This window comes from Homo sapiens, chromosome 7 (genome assembly GCF_000001405.40).
Source record: "Homo sapiens chromosome 7, GRCh38.p14 Primary Assembly".
Taxonomy (NCBI): Eukaryota; Metazoa; Chordata; class Mammalia; order Primates; family Hominidae; genus Homo; species Homo sapiens.
The window spans coordinates 15785641-15803807 of NC_000007.14; the positions used below are offsets into that span (position 1 = coordinate 15785641).

General features: G+C 35.3%; 1 long non-coding RNA gene across 1 annotated transcript in view; it reads right to left on the reverse strand.

Annotated features, from left to right (window-relative positions):
- Positions 1–17521, reverse strand: part of LOC105375167 (uncharacterized) — a 67988-nt gene extending 50467 nt beyond the window's left edge. Inside the window, exons 1-2 of the long non-coding RNA XR_927058.2 lie at positions 17284–17521; positions 7740–7888 (exon numbers count right to left, since the gene is read on the reverse strand). This is a non-coding gene — a long non-coding RNA (uncharacterized LOC105375167). The remainder of the gene's footprint in view (positions 1–7739; positions 7889–17283) is intronic.
- Between the last annotated feature and the right edge of the window lie 646 nt (positions 17522–18167).

Sequence of the window (18167 nt, forward strand, 5' to 3'; positions counted from 1 at the left end):
GACACTCAGAGACTCTGCCTGGTAATCCAGAGAATTCTTCCAGAACTTATCAAAGACCATCAAGCAGTACCTCCACAAGTCTGAAAGAACCATAGTGTTATTGGGTTTGGGATGCCTCCTAATGCAGATAAAGTTTACATCACAGCACCCAAGTCCTTTGGAATACCTGAAAGCCTTACCAAGAAGGATGACTACAAATAAGCCCAGACAGCAAAGACTACAAAATATCCTAACTCTTCAAAGCCAAGACAAAGATGAACATCCACAAGCATCAGGATTATCCAGGAAAACATTACCTAACCAAATGAACTAAATAAGGCACCAGGGATTAATCATGGAGAAACAGAGATATGTGACCTTCCAGACAGTGAATACAAAATAGCTGTTTTGAGGAAACTCAAAGACATTCATGATAATACAGAGGAGGAATTCATAATACATTTAACAAAGAAATTGAAATTGTTAAAAAGAATCAAGTAGAAATTCTGGAGTGAAAACATGCAATTGAGATACTGAAGAATGCATCAGAGTCTTTTATAGCACAATTAATCAAGTAGAAAAAATCATTAGTGAGCTTGAAGATAGGTTTTTTTGAAAATACATAGTCAGAGGAGACAAAAGAAAAAAGAAGTAAAGACAATGAAGCATATCTATAGGATCTAGAAAATAGCCTCCAAAGGGCAAATCTAAGACTTACTGGCCTTAAAGATGTAGAGAGAAAGATAGGGGTAGAACAATTTTTCAAAGGGATAATAACCATGAACTTTCCAAACCTAGAGAAAGATATCAATATCCATATACATGAAGATGATAGAACACCCAGTAGATTTAAACCAAACACGATTACCTCAAGACATCTAATAATCAAACACTCAAAGGTGAAGAAAGTATCCTAAAAGGAGCAAGAAAAAGGGACAGATAATATACAATGGAACCTCAATACCGCTGGCAGCAGACTTTTCAGTGCAAAACACCAGGCCAGGAGAGAGTAGTATGACATATTTAAAGTGCTGGGAAACTTTTTTTTTTTTTGAGGCAAGATTCACTCTTGTTGCCCAGGCTGGAGTACAAATGGCACATTCTTGGCTCACTGCAACCTCTGCCTCCTGGGTTCAAGCGATTCTCCTGCCTCAGCCTACTGAGTAGCTAGGATTACAGGCACCTACAAACATGTCCAGCTAATTTTTTGTATTTCTAGTAGAGGTGGAGTTACACCATGTTGGTCAGGCTGGTCTCGAATTCCTGACCTCAGGTGATTCACCAGCTTTGGCCTCCCAAAGTGCTGGGATTAGAGGTGTGAGCCACTGCGCCTAGCCAAAAAAAATTTTTTTGACCCTAGAATAATATATCTGTTGAAAATATTCTTCAAACATGAAGGAGAATTAAAGACTTTCTCAGGAAAACAAAAGCTTAAGAGTTTTATTAACACCAGACCTGCCCTATAAGAAATGCTACATGGTGTACTTCAGATAGAAAGAAAAGGACATTAATGAGCAATAAGAAATCATCTGAAGGTACAAAATTCACTGCTAATAGTAAGCACACAGAAAAATTTAGAATACTACAATACTGTAGCTATGGGGTGTAAACTGTTCTTATCTTAAATAGAAAGGCTAAAAAATAAATAAAAATAAATAAATAAATAAATAAATAATATATTATATATTATATTATATATAATGAATAAATAAATAATTATATTATATATAATATATAATATATTATCATTAAATAATATAATATATAATATATTATCATTAAATAATATAATATATAATATATTATCATTAAATAATATAATATATAATATAAAAAGTAAATAAATAATAAGGCAACAAGAAATAAAAACTAAAACAACTTTCTGAGACATAAACAGTATAACAAGATATAAATAGAAACAACAAAAGGTTAAAAAGCAGGGAGATGAAGTTAAGGTGTAGAATTTCCATTAATTTTGTTTTTTCTTAGTTTGTTTATTTGATTATGCAATCAATGTTAAGTCATTATCAGCTTAAGATAATGGGTTATAGGATAGTATTTGCAAGCCTCATGGTATCCTCAAGTCAAAAACCATACAATGGATACACAAAATGTAAAAAGCAAGAAATGAAATACCACCAGAGAAAATCACCTTCACTAAAAAAAAGACAGGAAGGGAAGAAAGAAGGAAGAGAAGACCACAAAACAACCAGAAAACAAATAACAAAATGGCAGGAGTAGGTCCTACTTCTCAATAATTACATTGGACGTAAATGAAGTAACTGTCCAGTCAAAAGACATAGAGTGGCTGAATGGATTAAACAGCAACCACCACCAAGACCCAATGATCTCGGGCCTACAAGAAACATACTTGACCTATAGAAACACACAAAGACTGAAAATAAATAAATGGAAGAAGATATTTCATCCCAATGGAAACCAAAATAGAGTAGGAGTAGCTATAATTATGTCAGACAAAATAGATTTCAAGACAAAGACTATAAGAAGATACAAAGAAGGTCACTATATAATGATAAAAGAGTTGATTAAGGAAGAAGATATAACAATTTTAATCCTATTCCTATTTAGAAAAAAAAAACGCAGCTCATTGCCAGCACTCATGTAATTTTACATAAACACGCTCTTCGAGGCTGAAGCAAATCTGACTGATTTTCAATGTAAAAATAAAATATAAAAACTGCTTTTGGAGTTATTTCTAAACAGAACTAACATCAGAATCATCAGAATCATTCCTTTCGGAAAAATCAGATTGATCAAATGAATCTTTGTCAACAACTGTTCAAGAATGATGCTAACGTCACATGAAATGTCACATTTTCCAGGGTCTGACATTTTCAGCAATCAAGAATTACTATATTTTGTAAATGGAAATACCACTATGTATTATTTCATTCTCACACTGCTATAAAGAAATACCTGAAACTGAGTAATTTATAAAGGAAAGAGGTTTAATTGACTCACAGCTCCACATGTATTGGGAGGTCTCAGGAGACTTACAGTCATGGCAGAAGGTGAAAGGGAAGCAAGGGCTTCTTCATATGGCAGCAGGAGAGAGAAGAGTGAGCAGGGGAAATGCCAGACATTTATAACACCATCAGAGCTCATGAGGACTCACTCACTTTCACCAGAACAGCATGGAGGAAACTGCCCCCATGATCCAATTGCCTCCCACTGGGTCCTTCCCTCAACAGATGGGGAATACAGGGATAACAACTCAAGATGAGATTTGGATGGGGACACAAAGCCAAACCATATCATGCTACTAAAAACAGAATGCTATAAATAAAATGATGTCTGTGTCCAATGTTGATATACTAGAGCAATACAAAAATAATAATAAAAGCGAGGTAATTTCATGTCCAAGTTATCTTCGGGTAAACATGGCAGCCGCATGTTTTCTTGCTGACAAGTATTCTTGGGGCAGATGGGAAAAGGGTTAAATATATATCTACTGAACACTGGAGCATCCAGATTTATAAAGCAAATATTATTAAAGCTAAGGAGAGCGATAGACTCCAATACATAACAACTGGAGAGTTTAACAACCTGCTTTCAGCATTAGACAGACCATTCAGACAGAAAATCAACAAAGAAACATGGGACATAATCTGCACTATAGAACAAATGGGCCTGATGGATCTTTGCAGAACATTTTATCTAATGATTGCAGAATACACATTTTTTTCCTCAGCACATGGACCATTCTCAAGGATAAATCATATGTTAGGTCAAAAAACAAGTCTTAAAACATCCAAAAGAATTAAAATAATATCAAGAATCTTCTCCGACAACAATGGAATAAAACTAAAAATAAATAACAAGAGAAATTTTGGAAACTATACAAACACATGGAAATTAAATAATATGCTCCTGAATGACCACTGGGTCCATGAAGAAATTAAGAAGGAAATTAAAAATTTTTGGAAACAAATAATAATGGAAACACAACATACCAAAACCTATGGGACACAGCAAAAGCAGAACCTAAGAGAGAAGTTTATAGCTCCAAGTGCCTAGATCAAAAAAAGAAGAAAAACTTCAAATAAACAATCTAACTATGTATTTTAAAGAATTAAAAAAAGGCAAGCGCAAACCCACCCAAAATTAGTAGAAAAAAATAAATAATAAATATCAGAGCAAAAATAAATGAACTTGAAATGAAGAAAACAATACAAAAGAACAATGAACCAAAAAGTTGGTATTTTGAAAAGATAAACAATTGTGAAACCTTTAGCCAGATTAAGGAAAAAAAGAAATACCTAAATAAATAAAATCAAAGATAAAAAATGAGAAATTATAACTGATACCACCAAAATTCAAAGGATCATTAGCGGCCATTATAAGCAACTATATGCCAATTAATTGAAAACTCTAGAACTGGGTAAATTCCCAGGCATAAATCTACCAAGATTGAACCACAAATAAATTCAAAACTTGAACATACCAATAACAGGTCATGAGATCAAAGCCATAATAAAAATTCTCCCAGGGAAAAAAAAATCTCAGGACCCAGTGACTTCATTGCTGAATTCTACCAAACATTTAAGGAAGAACTAATACTAATACCAACTCTACTCAAACTATTTCAAAAAAACAGAGGAGAAGGAAACATTTCCAAACCCATTCTATGAGGCTAATATTACCCTGATACCAAAACCAGATAAAGATACATCAAAAAGAAAATTATAGGACAAAATCTCTTATGAATATTGATACAAAATCCTCAACAAAACACCGGCAAATTAAATTTAGCAATATATTGAAAGATTATTCATCATTACAAAGTGCAGTTTATCCCTGGGAAGCAAGGATGGTTCAACATAAGCAAATCAATGTGATACATCACAGTAGCAGAATGAACGATAAAAACCACATGATCTTATCATTTGATTCTGAAAACTCGTGATAAAATTTAACATTGCTTCACAATAAAAACCCTCAAAAAACTGGGAATAGAAGGAACATAACTCAACATAATAAAAGCTGTATACAACAGACCCACAGCTAGTATCATACTGAATCGGAAAAAAACTGAAACCCTTTCCTCTAAGATCTGCAATGCAACAAGGATGCCTAATTTCATTCCTGTTATTCAACATAGTACTGGAAATCCTAGCTAGAGCAATCAGAAAAGAGAAAGAATTAAAGGGCATCCATATTGGAATGAAAGAAGTCAAACTATATTTGTTTGCAGATAATATGACTTGATATTCGGAAAAACCTGAAGACTTCACAAAGAGACTATTAGAACTGATAAACAAATTCAGTATCCTGGCTAACACGTCGAAACCCCGTTTCTATTAAAAATACAAAAAATTAGCCGGGCGTGGTGGCGGGCGCCTGTAGTCCCAGCTACTCGGGAGGCTGAGGCAGGAGAATGGCGTGAACCTACGAGGCGGAGCTTGCAGTCAGCCGAGATCGCGCCACTGGACTCCAGCCTGGGCGACAGAGCTAGACTCCGTCTCAAAAAAAAAAAAAAAAAAAAAAAAAAAAATTCTATGAAGTTGCAGGATACAAAATCAACCTACAAAAATCAGTATCATTTCTATATGCCAACACCAAACACTCTGAGAAAGGAATTAAGAAAGTAATCCCCATCTGCAATAGCTACAAATAAAATGAAATATCTAGGAATTAACTTTAACCAAAGAGGTGAGGGATCTCTACAATGAAAACTATAAAACACTGATGCAAGAAATTAAAGAAGACACACAAAAATGGAAAGACAATCTATAATCACGGATAGGAAGAATCAATATTACCAAAATCTCCACATTACCAAAAGCAATCTACAGATTTATTGCAATCCTTATCAAAATATCAATGACAGTCCTCACAGAAATATAAAAAGTAGCCCTAACATTTATGTAGAAACATAAAAGACCCAGAACAGCCAAAGCTCTCCTGAGCAAAAAGAATGAAACTGGAGGAATCACATTACCTGAGTTTATACTATGGAGTCATAGTAGCCAAAACGACATAGTACTGGCATAAAAACAGACACATAGATAAGTGGAACAGAAAAGGGAACCCAGAGATAAATCCATATACAGTAAATTCATTTTTGACAAAGGTACAAGAATCTACACTAGAGAAAGAAAATTCTCTTCAATACATTGTGCTGGGAAAACTGAATCTCCATATGCAAAAGAATGAAACTAGAACCCTATCTCTCACCATATACAAAAAAATCAAAATGGATTAAAGATTTAAATACAAGACCTCAAATTATAAAACTACTAAAAGAAAACATAAGGGAAACTGTGCAGGACATTGGACTGGGCAAATATTTCTGGAGTAATAACCCACAAACACAGACAATCAAAGCAAAAATGGACAAATGTAATCACATCAAATGAAAAGCTTCTGCATAGGAAAGGAACCAATTGACAAAGTGAACAGACAGTCCACAGAATGGGAGAAAATATATTAAAACTACCCATCTGACAAATTAATAACCAGAATATATAAGGAGCTCAAATAACACTACAGGAAAAAAACTAATTATTTGATTTTAAAAATGGGCAAAAATCTAAACACATACTTCTCAAAAGAAGACTTACAAATGGCAAACAGGTATATAAAAAGGTGCTCAACATCATTGATCATCAGAGAAATGCAATTCAAAACTACATTGAGATGCATCATCTCACCCCATTTATAATGGCTTTTATCCCAATGTCAGGCAATAACCAATGCTGACAAGGATATGGTGAAAGGGGAACCCTATTATACTGTTGGTAGGAATGTAAATCGGTACAACCACTATGGAAAACATTTTGGAAGTTCTTCAAAAAACTGAAAATAGAGCTACCATTTGATCTAGCAATCCCACTTTTAGCTATATGCTCCAAATAAAGAAATTCAGTATATCAAAGAGCTGTCTGCACTCCTATGTTTATTGCAGCACTATTCATAATAGCCAAGAGTTGGGAGCAAGCTACATGTCAATCGTCAATCAACAGATGAATTGATAAAGGAAATGTGGTACATATACACACTGGAGTACTTTTCAGTCATAAAAATGAATGAGATCCTGTTATTTGCAACAACATGGATGGAACTGGAGGTCATTATATTAAGTAATATAAGTCCAGCCCAGAAAGACAAGCTCCACACATTCTCACTTATTTGTGGAAGCTAATAATGAAAATAATTCAACTCATGAACATAGAGAGAAGGATGATTACCAGAGGCTGGGCAGGGTAGTGGAGGACTGGAGGAAGCACAGATGGTTAATTAATACAAAAAAATAGTTAGAAAAATGAATAAGATGTATTATTTGCTAGCACAACACGGTGACTACAGTCAAAAATGATTTAATTGTACGTTTTAAAATAACAAAAAGAGTATAATTGGATTGTTTGTAACACAAAGGATAAATCCTTCAGGTGATAGATACCCCATTTACCCTTATGTTATTATCATGCATTGCATGCTTCTATCAAAATATCTTATGTAACTCATAAATATATACACCTACTATATATCCACAAAAATATAGAAAATTTAAAAATATATCAGCTTAGTTTTCTTTACCCAGATCAAAGTAAACATTGTTGTCTGTCAACAACATGGTAAATATAAATATATTTCAGTAGCAATAGCATTTGTAATATGTTTAAATATGGCATCCTTAAATTTTATTAATCAAAATATTGGAAACAATGAAGAAAGTCCCATTTACTACCTAACAAACTATTTATGGTACTATTACTAAAAATTATAAAAATTCTTACTGTTTGTTTTGAATTTCTCTTCTGCTATAATCATTCCAAAGAAGTGTCTGTACTTGGGTCTGAACATATCATTATGGATCTCTGAATAACACGCTTGTTATTTGATGAAATCCTTCTGGAAGTCCTCCCAGTATTGAATTGCAATTGTTCTGCAATAAGGAATATACAGAAAAGCAAATTAGCTTGCCAGGCTCCACCAGCATTTTAAAGATGGTATTTAAGAGAGACCCATGACTACTTTGATTTTACAAATTTCACTAGGTGATAATTTCCAAGTCATCAGAATTAATAAAAATTCAGGAAATGTCAAACTTCAGGGAATATAAAACCTCACCTAAGTACACTTTAGAAGGGTCCAGTAACCATCCCAAGTGACAAATCAGGCCTTCTTTTATGTACATTACAAGGAGAAGAGAAGGTAGAAGGGTAGCATAGGGGTGGAGGGCAAAGCTAGATCTACAGCTTCCTGCAGATGTATTTTGATCCTCCACTTCCCTGGACAGGGGTCAGTCTCATTTAGTTAACTAATTCTTTTCACATGTTCTGTAAGAATGGACTATGTGCTATATCTGTTATAGGATGTAGTAATTGGAAGGGTGGATGGAAATACAGAGAGAAGAATTGACAGTGAAACTTGCCAATTTCATAGTCTAAGGTAATGCAGATATCCATCGGAGACCCTTCAGAAACCCTAATTCCAGAAGGCACTGACTACTCTTTAAGGAATTCAGGTCTCACTGCATTATTCATCAGAACCAGTGTCTGTGTAGATAACTGAAATAGCATATTAGATTTCTTTTTATAAAATGGAGAAAAAAATACCTCTAGATTATATAGATGGAATTTTAGCATGCAACTCTTAGCTAAAGAGAGACACACTCTCCTCTGCAGCCATCAACTGTAGGGCTTTTCATGAGGTTTCTTAGGAATACTATGAAGATCTTCCAGGGTCATCTCTGTGTTTCTGGCGTAATCCTTTGCATGTACCTTACCCTTCCTTGTGCCTTCAATCAGAAAACAACAAATTCTAGATAGTTGAGTGTATTAGTCCATTCTCACACTGCTATGAAGAAATACCCGAGACTGGGTAATTCTTAAAGAAAAGAGGTTTAATTGACTCACAGTTCAGCATGGCTGGGAAAGCCTCAGGAAACTTACAGTCATGGTGGGAGGCACCTCTTCACAGGGTGGCAGGAGAGAGAATGAGTGCTGAACGAAGGGGGAAGCCCCTTATAAAACCATCAGATCTCCTAAGAACTTCCTCACCATCATGAGAATAGCATGGGGGAAACTGCCCCCATGTCTCAATTATCTCCACCTGGTCCCACCCTTGACACATGGAGATTATTACAATTCAAGGTGAGATTTGCGAGGGGATATAGAACCAAACCATATCAGTGAGTGAAGTATTTATAAGCAATGGTGCTTTGTGTGGATCACTCTTTGAAAAGCAGTGCAGTCATTTGTGTCATTACATATATCCCTCAGTATGTTTATAAATTTCTGCTCCATGACCTATGGGTCTCAACAATAAATTGTGCTATATGACTTCTTCCATTTTTCACACTGCACTCAGAAACACAAGCCTAAAATAAATACACTGTGAATCAGGGCCATGGGAGTCTCTTCTTTTACAAGGGTTGTCCTTTGGAAGCACCTTCTCCTTCCCTAAAGAGCTTATGTTTTTACACTTAAAAATGGGTCTTTTCCATGTCCATTTCCTGAATATTTTGTTATTGATCCAAACTATTTTTTCTCTGCCTTTCATGTTATTATAAAAGAAACCTCATTGTGCCCTAGTGCATATATTAAAATATAACATAAAAGAAGATTAAAGGTATAAAACGGAAAAGTCAGCAAGCAACTAAAAATCCTAACACTTAAAAAAGAAAGAAAGAAAATGGGTTAAAAGGTTACAAAGGAAAAGAATATGGGTTTCTGGAAGAGGCTAAAATATAAACAGCCCCCTGACCTTGGGTTCAAATAAGGAATGAATAGAAGGGTTGGACATATTTATTAAGGCAGACAATTTGAAAAATTTAATCCTCAGCTAAACTAAAAAACATCCAAGGAAGGCAGTATTTGAATGTCTACCCTCAAGTCCAAGAGGAAGAATCTCTAGGGATTTTCTGGAGAGAAGAAACTCTATTACAACATTTTCCTGGCCTGAAAGCCTAGTTAGGAGGAAGTGAACAGAACCCAGCCCCAAGGCCAAATTTCAGATCAAGTGGATGGACTGCCAGGACATCCTACACACCGGACAAAGACAGTGAAGCCAAGACTACCCACATTCCCATGCTTTTAGAACCGGGGAACCTCAAGGGGGTACTTGATTTATGTGGAATAACTGGTCTGCCTAAATTCATTTAAGAAAGAAAACCTTTTCCAGCACCCTCACCTGGGATTGAGGATTTTAGAAAATGGAAATGGAAGATGGAAATATATTAAATTGCTCCTTGGCTAATATATTAGGACCCTGAAAAAAAGAGCCTAAGGTTCAAATAGTAACAATAGACAGCAGTTATTAAACACTGATTGTTCCACGCCATGTTGTTTTATATGTCGAATCTCCTTCTATCGTCACAAAAATCCTATGAGGCATATATCATCACACCAGTTTTTATAGACGAGGAAGCCTGAGCCTAGGTTCGTTCATTAGCCGATGAACATATTATAAACATGTAATGAAGAGCTATAATAGTTAATGGTAGAGACAGGATTCAACCCCCAGGTCTACCTGACTCAGGGCCTATATTCTTGACAACCTACAGTGTAGAATGAACGAACCACTGCAATAAATATAATCATGAATTAATAAGCAAACAATATGCATATGATACTCTACTTATATTAATAAATCTTACGAGCAAAGGATGTCAAAGACGACTATTTACAACTCACCTATACAACAATAAGAGCTTAGAGGGCCTAATGTTGCAAGATACAATTTGTGTATTTACTCAGGCTCTAACATTTGGAATTTCCATGAATTGATCCTAGTCCTTCATCAACTGTTATTAATCTAATTTATTAATCTTAAAATAATAAAATAAAAATTTAAAATTAAGTTACTATAAGATGTCATATCCTGTGCTGTTGCTATGCGTTCATAGAAATTTTCTCTTTTCATCTAATACCCTCTTCAGTGGTTAGTATAAAATATGCATTCAGTAAGTATTTTTAAAACAGTGTAATTAGTATTTCCCTCATTTCCCTGATGTGACAATTGACACTCAGAGAAAACTTACCAAGGACCAGAAGTCCTCATGTAGGATTCAAATTTAGTTTTTCTAACTTCAAGGCCCATGTATTTGGTACAATATCAAAAGCTACAAAATTACGAAATTAAATTGTTATAGAAACGAATAAAATGAGTTAAAAGAAGATTACACTTGGCCGGGCGCGGTGGCTCACGCCTGTAATCCCAGCACTTTGGGAGGCTGAGACTGAGACGGGCGGATCACGAGGTCAGGAGATCGAGACCATCCTGGCTAACAAGGTGAAACCCCATCTCTACTAAAAATCCAAAAAGTTAGCCGGGCGTGGTGGCGGGCGCCTGTAGTCCCAGCTACTCGGGAGGCTGAGGCAGGAGAATGGCGTGAACCTGGGAGGTGGAGCTTGCAGTGAGCCAAGATTGCAGATCGCGCCACTGCACTCCAGCCTGGGCGAAAGAGCGAGACTCCGTCTCAAAAAAAAAAAAAAAAAAAAAAAAAAAAGAAGATTACACTTGAGGAATGTCTTAAATAATGACCAAAATCTTTCATGGAACAAAACTTGATTGTATATGGGGATCAGATATTCTTGGCCACTGCTTCCAAATTTGTTCATATCATGGCACATACGTTAATATTTTTACGGCACACTTCTGGAAATGAGAAAATGATTCTCAGCTGGAAGCAACTTTCTCGTGTTCTCTGGCCACCCTGGCTCTGACCAGCTATCCTATGAACTGTGGAATCAATATCACACATTTAGTCCACTGGTTGCATGCAAATATTCAAGATTTACCAGTTGAGAAGCTTAGTTGTATGTATATAAAATAGCATGCAAAAACATAGATTTGAGGAAATGCATAAAATATTTTTGAAACCTTGAGAAGTTCAGTTTGGTTTAGGAAATATGGTGGAAAATAATATTGGAGAAGAGTTTAGAGTCAGATTATAAAATTTCTTATATGCCATGCATTTGAACTGTAAAATTACATTAAATAGGCAAAAATTGCATAATAATGTATAGATTTTCCTTTTTCAATTTTTCTCTTCAGCATTATTTCATTTACTTCAACTGCATTTATTACTCTGGATTCCTTTCTGCTGTGCAGTATTTGGTATAATACAAATACTTTCAATGAGATCAACTATGAAAGCTGCATAAAATAAATGAAGCAGAAAACAACTACTTAAAATTATTGGAGATTAACTAAGTCAACAAGAAATGGAGGAACTGAGTTCCTGAAGAGAATGGAAGTACATTAGGATGAATGTTCATTTGCCTTCACTTTTTTGCATTAGCAAGCAATTCTCAGCTCTAAGCACAGAAACTGATCATGAAGCAATAGTCTAAAAATGTGAGGGGCCGAAATCAGTGAGCTTCAGAAAAGTGACTTTGACGTTCTACGCAGTTTCTACTCTTAGCATTTACGAACTCTAAGACACTGAGAAACTCTGATTCTGTGCTTAGAAACTAAAAAATAGCTTAGCAATGATTTTGATACTTTTATTGTGCTAGAAAGACAGAAAGTAGTGTTCAGATACCCCAAATAAGAATGATCCTATTTAAACACCAAAGCTCTTTTTTAGTTGAGATTCCTACAAACATTGCATAGCAATGACTGAGAACAAACTAAAAATAGGCCAGTTTTGCCTAGATGAAAATGATTTGTCTGTACTTGGGACTGGAAAAAACAAAACACATGAAATCGTCTTTGGAGGAAGATATCATCCAAATGTTCTACATTTTTTTCCTACATACTGTCCAGCATTTAATAAAAACTTAGAAAACATGTCAATAAACACAGTCACTAACCAAACCCAAAGAGAAAACAGATAGGAACAGGTGTCCAAGTAATCTAAATTTTGTTGGAGATACACACAGATTTAAAATAACTGAGTTCAATGTATATAATAAGATAGAGTACAATTTAAAAATTTCCCAAACATCAACTCTTAAAAAAGAAGTTAAGAATTGAAGGATGAATCTAATGGCACCTTAGAAACTGCAGAAGACGGGATTAGTGTTTGGCCTATAGATTAGTAGAAAATAATTTGTAATGAAGCACAAAGAAAGGACTGAAAATGCCATATCTATAGATAAATTAATGGAATTAATACAAATGGAAGTGTTGCTGAGTATAATTTCTATATGAATTAATTACATTCCTATATTAGCAACAAACATTTAAAAGTGAAAGTTGAAAGCTAAATCAATTTACAATAGTTTGAAAGCCACCAAATACCTAGGAATAAGTCTAATAAAAAGTTGCAATACTGCTACATAGAAATCTAGAAAATGCTACAAGAGAAATCAAAGAAAATACATCAAAGGGAGGAAAATATCAAGGTAAGAAATATAGGAAGAACTGATATCTTAATAATATTGAATCTTCTAATCTCTGATTTACACCAAAATTGTTTTTGAAAAAAGACAACTGTGAGATTCAAACAACTCCAAAATTGCTTTTGAGAAAAATATACATTACTTAGCTTGATTGTGAATATTTCACAATGTGCAAATATATATACAATTTTTAATTTTCAACTGTACCTCAACAAAACTGAAAAGATGCAACAAGGAAAAGGTTGTCTTTTCAGTAAATGGTGCTAGGTCAATTGAATTTTTATTAAAAAGGTGGTAATTTATTTCTACTTCATACCTCACACATGAAATTCAGTTGCAATGGAATGTTAATGTAAATGCTTATTGCTCAAGCCTCCGCCTCAAGCCTTCTTTCTTCCAACAAGCATCACCTTACTGCTCTAACAGTCACTTAGGTACTTATTTTCTAAATACTTTTTACAGGTAGAAATTGTATCATATTATGCTGTCATACATTTTCTTTAGCTATGACCATTTTATCGACCCAATAAGGTATAAGCTCTTTAAAGAGAAGAAATATGGGTTTCTATTCCATATCATTAATTTGACAGGTACAGTTCCCTGATGTAAAACACTTCATTATCTGTATGTGATTCATCTACTCAAATACCCTGTTAGATTCTGGAGGCCAAGCTTCTAACTGTATTTTTTATTTTCTCACACATTGAGCCCAACGCCTTGCACAATGAAAACCTCCAATATATACTTATGGATTGAATTTTCCAAGAATTAGGCCTTTATAATACTAGAGACTAACAGCACAAAAGTTTTCTTTACTTTAATTCTAAGGGCATCACACTCAGCATAAAATCCTAATGACTCGCCATGCACCACAGGTCTTATGGGTCTAGCTCTGTCCCAGTTCCCTGGGGCTCTATTCCTTACCTCTCTCCCCTTGCTCCCTCTCAGTCTACTCTTATTCTTCTCTCTGCCTGGAATGCTTTCCCAGGTCTTCACAGTACTTGACTCTTGTTATATTTTCAGTCTTTCTTCCAACGTTGCCTCCATAGAGAGGTCATTATCCATCTTGTCACTCCCTGTCCAATATTCACTTCTGTTTTTCTTCATAGCTTCACCCACTCTTACCTAAAAATAAGCTACCCAAGGGCAGGGATTTTGTGTTTCTTATTTTTGGTGTATCTCCAAGTCTTGCACATACATTGTGTTCAGTAAACATGTATTGAAAATATAAATAAGTGAACAAATTCAGTAAACCCTTGCAATAATGTTTGATGAATAGAAAAACTTCTAATTCATAGCATTAGTTCAGAGTGAATGAAAACAAAATCCTGAGAAACAGAGTAATATAGCAATGATACAGGAAGAAGGCACAACCTCAGAATCTGTGGTTATAATTAATTAAAAAAATAGGGTGAATGTGACTTGTGGGCAAATTACTTTTACAAAATGATAAGATGTGATCGTGCTTTAAAACTTCTAAATTCAGCCGACATTGAATATTGAGCTATATGGTAAATAATGAATAAAGCTCATTATTTCTCTATGTCTAACCTTATTCTAAAAAGCAGTGCATCTGGGGGCCAGATGACTTTAGAAACACGTTATTAAAAATAACTCCTTAATTCTTCAACATAAGTGGAGACAGACTTCATTATCTCATTTAGCAGAGGCAGCTCACGATTGTAATCCCAGCATTTTGGGAGACTGAGACAGGAGGATCACCTGAGGTTGGGAGTTCAAGACCAGCCTGACCAACATGGAGAAACCCCATCTCTACTAAAAATACAAAAAAAAAAAATAGCCAGATGTGGTGGTGCATGCCTGTAACCCCAGATACCCAGGAGGCTGAGGCAGGAGAATCGCTTGAGCCCGGGAAACGGAGGTTGTGTTGAGCCAAGATAATGGCATTGCACTCCAGCCTGGGCAACAAGAGTGAAACTCCATCTCAAAAAAAAAAAAAGTTGAGGCAGTAAAAATAAATGGTTTGTCTAATGTTTCAACATTAATTTGATAGTGTCATGTTGAATATCAATTTGTAGCCACATGTTTGTTCCTGAATTTGTGACATCATTTATGACATAATTTATATTATGAACATAACTTTCAACAGAGTGAGAGAAGCATCACTCTCTGTGCTTTAGAACAGATTTCTCTTCTATAATCATTCAATTATGGGTAACCAGAAAGGCAATGAATATAACATGAGGTCTTAAATGTGGACATTTCCCCCATTAACTCATTCAAAATGTGTTGTCAGGGAGTTGGTTCAGGTTCAAGAGTGAGCTGACTTATGGAAAGACATGAATTGAAACCCAAATTAGAATCTAAAAGGAAGTATGGTACTATAAAGCAGAGAAAGTGGGTTTGTGGTGGCACAGTGGTGGTGCATACCAATTTGATGACTCTTGACAAATCACAAAGAAGTAGTTTCTTTAAAAAATTAAAATTAAACAAATTAGGGGTAATATTGGGATAGACAATTATTTTTCCTCTTGTGCACCATATCCTATAGATGTATCCCTTTATTTTTATCTATTTTTTATTCATTGATATTCAAAAGCCCATTCTCCCAACCAAAAAGTTCCAGCCTCAAACTTGTTAAAGTCAAAACAATTGTTAAAATGGAAAATAGAAGCAATTTTTATCATTGGCCCACCACAGTTTGGCTCAATTCTTCCAGTCTCTGCTCTAGTGAGAACGAAGCCAGACCACACACTGAGGCTGAATTACAACACTTCAAAAAGAAGAAAAACACTAATGGAAAAAGTCAAATGGGTTTCCAAATAGGAGGTGGTAGACAGTACAGAAACCTCTTAGCACAGCTCTTACAAGGCTGAACTCCGAATCCCAGGCCCCAACAGGCAATCATTAGCTTGCCTTCCCATTCTTCTGTGGTTGTAGGACAGGAAATGTCCATTCAGCTGCACATTGTTCTAGAGTGCATCAGCTTAAGTGGAAATGCATTTTTAGAGCCTCTTAACCCAATCCCCACTTTTGTAAAACGGATCCTGTCATTTATAAAAATAAAAATGAGAGCTGCATGAGATATTTTCTTCCTTAAAATTATTTCAGCAAGTGAATGAAAAAATAAAGGAGTAAATTATTTCAGCAAGTGAATGAAAAGTTTAAAGGAGTAAATGTTTGGAAGGAAGTCTTTAAGTTGATAGTGATAGAGAAACCTAATTTTGTTATCTTGGACACAAATGCAGCTTCCTAACTCTTAGAAGACAAGTGAACGTTGATAACGCAAACTATGGAAAGGGGAGGGGTGCAGACAGGTTTCAGGGAAAATTCAGGGAAGGTATTTTATTTCTTCTGGAATGTTGGCTATCTCTTTTCTCTGGCCACAGCACTTAGGTCACAGCGGTAAGCAGAAGAAAATACTGTCCCTTCTTTCAGGAAGACAGATCAAAATTTAAAAGCAGTCCCACAGATGCAAAATTAGAATTTGTCCTGAGTGCTAGAAAAGAGAGGTACATGTTAATATGAGTATAAAATGTGTAAATTGACTAGGGGAGGCTTTTCTGAAGAAATATCACGAAGCTGACCTATACTATGAGGAAATAAATCTCAAAATCATGAAGCAGTTTGTCTCCTGAACACAGCCATGCTGAGAAGTTCTAAACTATAGCTTGGTTAGACCTGGGAAGGTTAAGGTCATTTGGCCAGACATATATGTTTCCATGGCTCTTTCACAAACATTATGCAAACTTCTGAAAATCTGGACTTAACTTGACATTTAAGGAGTCCTTTGGGGAAGAGCACAAATAGGAGCTTGAGAGATGCTTTAAATCTAGTCAGCAGAAATAAAAGGATAAAAATAAAGAAGCAACAGGGAAGAAAACTGACATTTTTAAGTGGCAAGTAGAAGCTAGATGCTCTATATCAATTACCTCAATGAATCTCCCCAAATACTACAGCCATTGGGTGTAGTTATCCCCGTTTTATACTGGTGGAAACTGAGGCTCCTAAGATTTAAGTAGCTTACCGATGACGACAAATTCAGATAGTAGGTATGCTAGGATTTGAACACAGGACTTGCTTTGACTTCTTACTTTGCTCTTCATTTTTCCTTACACAGTACATATCTAGAGAAACATCAGCAGGCTTTAGGAGTGGATAAGAGACGTCATTTTTAACTCTATCGCTTTCGGATTTAAATATAGAAAAACAGTCCTGAAAATTAAAACTGATTGTCATTATCCTTTTTTTTTTGCTTTGTTTTGTTTTTTTGTTTTTGTTTGTTTGTTTTTTGAGACAAGGTCTCACTTTGTCGCTCAGGCTAGAGAACAGTAGTGCAGTCACAGCTCAATGTATCCTCGACCTCTTGGGCTCAAGTGATTCTCCCACCTCAGCCTTCTGAGTAGCTGGGACTACAAGCATGCAACACTGAAACCAGCTAACTTTTTTTCCTTTTTTGTAGAGATAAGGACCTCACTATGTTGCCCAGGCTATATCATTATCCTAAGAGACAGATTCCAGAGATTTGCCTTAACTCTGTGTGTCTTGATAACTATTTTTTCTGTCAATTTAGTCATGCTCTATCCTTCTTTTGTGAAAATAGAAGGGGCTCTTCCCTGACCACAGAGACAGACCCATAACTCAGGCCAGGACAATAACACTTTCCTATTCTCCTGTCATAATATCAGTCAGTGTGGCAGCCATTGTAGTTTGGCTCACTCAATACTCAAATATAATCACATTCTCCCCTACTTGACTCTATCACAGAGACTGAAAAAGACAAAATAATTGATTTCTCAGACTCTTCTGTGGATAAGAGTAGCCATGTGGTCCATTTCTAGTCTATAAGATGTAAGTGAAAGTTTGCTGAATAGGATTTCTGGGAAAGATTTTACTTCCTTCCCTGATAAT